This window comes from Homo sapiens, chromosome 4 (genome assembly GCF_000001405.40).
Source record: "Homo sapiens chromosome 4, GRCh38.p14 Primary Assembly".
Classification (NCBI taxonomy): Eukaryota; Metazoa; Chordata; class Mammalia; order Primates; family Hominidae; genus Homo; species Homo sapiens.
In genome coordinates, this window is record NC_000004.12 from 123,461,888 (window position 1) to 123,467,536 (window position 5,649).

At 39.7% G+C, this 5,649-nt stretch overlaps 1 annotated feature.

Annotated features, from left to right (window-relative positions):
* Nucleotides 386-3,412: an enhancer, noted in NCBI's record as "VISTA enhancer hs1582". NCBI's record gives its function as "enhancer in: hindbrain (rhombencephalon)[6/8] | midbrain (mesencephalon)[6/8] | facial mesenchyme[4/8]" and the evidence as "EXISTENCE:transgenic organism evidence [ECO:0001131][PMID:17130149]".

The window sequence follows — 5,649 nt, forward strand, 5'->3', positions numbered from 1 at the left end:
GATCTGCCCACCTCAGCCCCTCAAAGTGCTGGGATTACAGGTGTGAGCCACCACGACACCCAGCCTGTTTTTCTGTTTTGTTTTTCTAAAAACACTGTATACTTTTATATTTATTTTTACTGTACCTTTTATATATTTAGTTACATTTAGATAACACACATACCATTGAGTTACAGCTGCCTACAGTCTTCAGTACAGTAACATGCTGTACGGGTGTGTAGCCTTGGAGCAGTAGCCTAGGTGTGTAGTAGGGTGTACACCCTCTAGGTTTGCGTAAGGACACTTTGATGTTTATGCAACAACAAAACAGTCTCATGACACATCTTTCCGGACATAACCCTGTTATAAGGCAATGCATGACTATATTACACTTAATTTGTGAGAATGGAATGTGGTGAAGCATGTTCTAGGCTCAGTGCAGCCAAACTTTGTGGTTGTTGCTTCTGTTTATAGAAGCTCTAACAGTTTGAGATATAGGGTCCCTAGGTGCTTACCTAGGTATTTATAAGTGTCTTTGAATGTGTTGCAATAATTTCAAATAACTTAATGGAATCATATATTTCCCCGGGGAGGGTTGCTTTTTTGTTTTTCTCTACTTTTGATTTTGGTTAAAACTCAAGGTAATCTTATACCAGACACTCTGACAACTTGGTTGACTTGTGATTAATAAAATACTGCAAATTACATCATTTCAATATGGTAGGCAGTTTTAAAACCTGTAGTCACTGGACGAGAGTGAAGTAGAATCTACTGCCCCTACCTCAAACCTCATGTCCCACCATACCATTTCAGGACAGTTCTTTACTTCAGGAGTTTTAGCTTCTCTAGGGTAGATTTGATTTTTATTTTTTCCATAGTCACACATTCAAGAATCTTAACAAACAATTTGTGTATAGATGGAACTTCCCTTCATATATGTCTAATATATTAAAATTGAAATCTACACAGCAGATATGTTTTTCTTGGACTTCTTTGAATAACTGTATCATGCACGCTTCTAGAATTTATTTACTCCTCTAAGAATTCTTTGTTTTGGGAATAAACCTGTGTTGGTCTGGCTTACTTTGGGAATGTTGTTAATGGACATACATGTCTCAGTTGTGCGAACGAAGGCACAAAATTTTGGAGCTGGAAGGCTCATGACTTTTCAGAATTATGCAGTGGGTTTACGGACAGTCTCCTTTTTGGTGGATGATGTGGAAATCTTCAAGAGGGATTGGTGGATATTGAAGCAGCTTGTGACAGATTTCCTCTTCCAGGTGCCTCCAAATGTTAGTTTGGTATCAGATGATTTGGTCAGCTCCTTTAATTTTTAATTTTTATTTTTTTGAGAAAGGGTTTTGGTCTGTTGCCCAGGCTGGAGTTCAGTGGCACAATCATGGCTCGCTGCAGCCTTGACCTGCCAAGATCAAGCGATCCTCCCTCCTCAGCCTCCTGAGTAGCTGGGACCACAGGTGTACACCCCAATGCCTGGCTAATTTTTAATTTTTTTTTTTGTAGAGACAGGGTCTCACTTCTTTGGCTAGGTTGGTCTTGGACTCCTGGGCTCAAGAAATTCTCCAGCCTTGGCCTCCCAAAATGTTGGGATTACAAGTGTGAGCCACTGCACCTGGCCAGCTACTTTAATATGAAATGAAAAATTGGAAGATAAAATGTTATCATTATTCTATTATTATTCAGGAGACAGATGGGACAATTTGCAAGTAGAAATGGGGATGACAATGATTAGGGACTAAGTTTTTAAAAATAATGAGAATTTATATATCTATCAAAATCAACATGTCCAGATCTTCATGTCACTTCCCCCATCAACTCCATCCTTGGTTTTCTTCTTATGACAAAATAAAGAATGAACCCTTAAAAATAACAAACAACAGAAGACAGAAGACATTTCTCATGAATTTTTGACGCATGTTTGTTGCTATTATTGTGCTCTATTTCCTATAGTTGCTTGTTTAAGCGTTTAAAAAAAATTCATTGAAATTTATCATTTTTCTCTTAAACCAACTCAAAATTTCGTGTGTGTGTGTGTGTGTGTGTGTGTATGTGAAAAATGTCCCTAGGATCAGCTCTATTTGCATTGGTATTTCCAGTGGAAATGTCAAGTGTGACCTTTTTCTTGTTTGGGTGTCTAATCCTATTTTAAAGCCCTGTCACGCCCCTGCCAAGGGTCAGTGCCCTTGTGAATAGAACTTCAGCACCTGCTACCCCTTTCTTCTCCTCTTCTTCCCCTCTGAGTAGAACTGGAGGATGTTCCGGATGGCAAACAAAACAATACTATGCTTCAATGACTGCAGTGCTAGAAAATAATTCCAGACTTGACAATTTGGCAGAGTAAGTTTTGAAACCATGAGAAAATAAACACAAAAAAAGCAAACCTGAAAAGAGGAAAAGAATAAACGTGCAGGAACATTGCATTTCATTGCTGCAAATATCAAGACTAACACCCCCTTGAACTTTTAAGCTGATGAGATAGGGGCTCTGAAAAAAGACCAGCTCTAGCAAATACAGGCTGCTAAAATCAGTGTCATTGACATTTCACCTTTGGAAAAAATTATTAACATAAAAAATTGTGGGAAATATAATGGAGGAAATTCAGATTATTATAGTAACTGGGTTTGGTTTCTCCATTTCCTAAAGTAGAATTTTGAATAATGATGCTTAGCAGAGCTGAATTAAGCAGTAAATGAATGTAGACAATTTGAATAGCAAAGGGATTGTATGCTCATGCTTATTATCATTTAAAGATAATGTTCTATAAAAGTCAGCTCTGTTTGCCAGTGCTTCGGTTGAATTATAATTTCCCATCACAGAAATTATTAGGGAATTAAATAATTTTGTGTTGGAACATAGCCATATTTAAATGTGTAGTTTCTCACTGAAGTTCGTTATCAACAGTTTTATCTGACAATATCTCACCACAAAATTCCTAAGGGAACAATCTTTTCTGGCCGCATTAATGTTCTCACTGTTTTTCCTAAAATCATGCTAATTCCCACTTTTTCATATGAAATAAAGCCTTAGTGATGTTTTCTCATATTGAAATCCAAGTGTATTTTCTCTTTTACTTTGTACCATGCTCCGCAATCTGGTTTGGTACACAGCGCTTCCATACACGTATCTCTGCTTTTCCCTCATCACCTTATATTCTGATCCTGCAATAGTTTCTTGTGTGCCACCACAAGAGTAACCATTCTAAGAGATCATATGACACTCTTCCTCAAATACCTCCAAACCCGAAATTAAATATAAATGTATAATTGATTATGATAAGGCATAATCAAACTAGATTGAATGAAAATATGTAGAGATAGGGAGTGCCATGACCCAGAAAGCTTCAGAAAGCAATGGAAGTGAGAGTGACCTAGAATTGGGATGAGGTGGGGCTTGAAACAAGCCTTGAAGAAATGGGAGTATTTGGTGAGAAGTGACAATGGAGCATGTGTCCTCTTTTAGGGAACAGTGACCAAAGACATAAAAGCATTTTCGAGTATGGCTAATACAGCAGTTTGGCTAGCATGGCATGTCATAGGAGATGAATCTAAAAAGTAGGTTAGGATTTGCTTGTGGCTGGCCATGATTATCCGTTTACACATCTTTGTCCTCTGGATTTTGGGAAGCCATGAAAGATGTTTGGGCAGGGTAGTGATATTATCATCTAGGAAGACTCACTCACTGGAAATGTACAGGACAGACTGGCTGCGGATAGAAGGCCGGAGGCAGATAAACTGGTTAGAAGACAGGGATAGAATGCCCGAGGCAGAGAAACTGGTTAGAAGACAGTTGCTGTAATCTAGGTGTGTGTATTAAGGTCCTGATTAGGGTGAAGGCAACGAGAAAAGTGGAGATACCGGGAAGAAATTACTTAGAGAATTAGGAAATTAAACAGGTATGAGGGAAGCATTAAAAACTTACTCTAGAATTTCAGGTTTGAAGACTAGGAGAAAAAGAGCAGCCAGGAGAAGAATCTGAGGTTTTGTGAGTATGTGATGGGTTTTTACATATGGTGTTTGAAATAGCTGCAGTTCATTTCCTTGAAAACGTCACGTATGCAGTTTGGGATGCAGGATTGGAGTTCCAGCGACAGTCCTGGCTAGAAATGTACATTTGAGAGCCACGTTAATTGAGTGCTAGTTGAAGCCTTGGAAATGAATAAAATTACTCAACAATGACTAGATTTTGGCTAGTACTCTTATTTATGAGATGAGGGAGAAAAAGGAGAAAGCAAGGAAAGATGAGTAAGGTACAACCCAGGTGAAGATTGTTTTATAAAAGCAAAGGGGAGACAGTGGAAGAAAGGAGGATGACACCAGCAAAGAACACAGATCTACAGAGAAGTTCACAGTAAAGCAAATGAAGCCTGAGGACAGCCTGCTGGGTTTGTAAACTGAAAGACCATAGTTGGCTTTTGAAAGCGTGGGGCCTGATGCCACATTGCAAGTTGTTGAGGAGACAATGTGTCATGTGAAAGCAGAGGGGGATACAGTAAAAACTTGTGAATTTTTGTGCTAAATGGAGGGAGAAAAATGGGGGTGGGCAGGATACCCAGTTTGTGTGAAGGACATCAGATGGGGCAGGGATGTTACTGTTAAAAGGCAGAGAATCGAAAGCCAGGAGAAGTGAAGGACTGAAAGCGTTAGAGAAAGAGGCATGGGGTTGAGAAAGCAGGAATGAATAAATGACTGTTTCCTGCATATGAGTAACTGAATGAATGTGATGTTTGAGGTGACTATTGAAATTTGGCAGGGCATGTCCTTGCAGGGGTGCATGTGTGTATATTTTAGTAAAAGCATATTAAATTCATATTAAAGTCAAGCAAATTATTTGCTTGTTTTTTGAACAGGGTCTCCCTCTGTTGCCCAAGCTGCAGTACAGTGGCATGACCACATCTTCACTGCAGCATTGACCTTCCAGACTCAAATGATCCTCCCACCTCAGCCCCCCAAGTAGCTGGGACTATAGGCATGTGCTACCATGCCCAGCTAATTTAAATTTCTTCTTCTTCTTTTTTTGTAGAGACAGGGGTCTCCCTATGTTGCCAGGGCTGGTCTCAAACTCCTGACCTCAAGTGATCCTCCTGCCTCAGCCTCCCAAAGTGCTGGGATTATAGGCATGAGCCACCGGGCCTGGCCCAGGAACTTATTTTAAAATTCAACTGAGATGGTAGCACAAATCACTGTGGAATGTTTAATGATAGGTGGAGCAGGTTTCCTAAGCTTTGAAGAGAGTTAAGACATCATTTGTACCTACAGATGCCAGTTCTTAGTGCCTTGTGACAATGGCAAGTCTGATGTGTCCTTAGGCTGCAAACAGAATCTGAGTGAGTGGACGACCCTCAAAGGCAAAAATTTCATTTGTAAGTGATTTTGTCTTTTGGGTGAGATACGATGGAAGGACAGAACATCATGTTGAATCTCAGTTTGCTTTTTTGGTTCTCTTATGCTCCCCTACTTTCTTATGCGTACCTCACTGTGTGGTGATGGTCCATTTCCTTGCCAATCTGATCTCCCCCAAATAACTGTGAGCTCCTCAAAACCTAAGTCACTCATCTCTGAATCAGAATACCTTATATGTTCCTGGCACATAATAAGCAATCAATATTGCCTGCTAAATAAATTAGGGAGGGAGTGTGTGTTTGGGGGTTAGCTC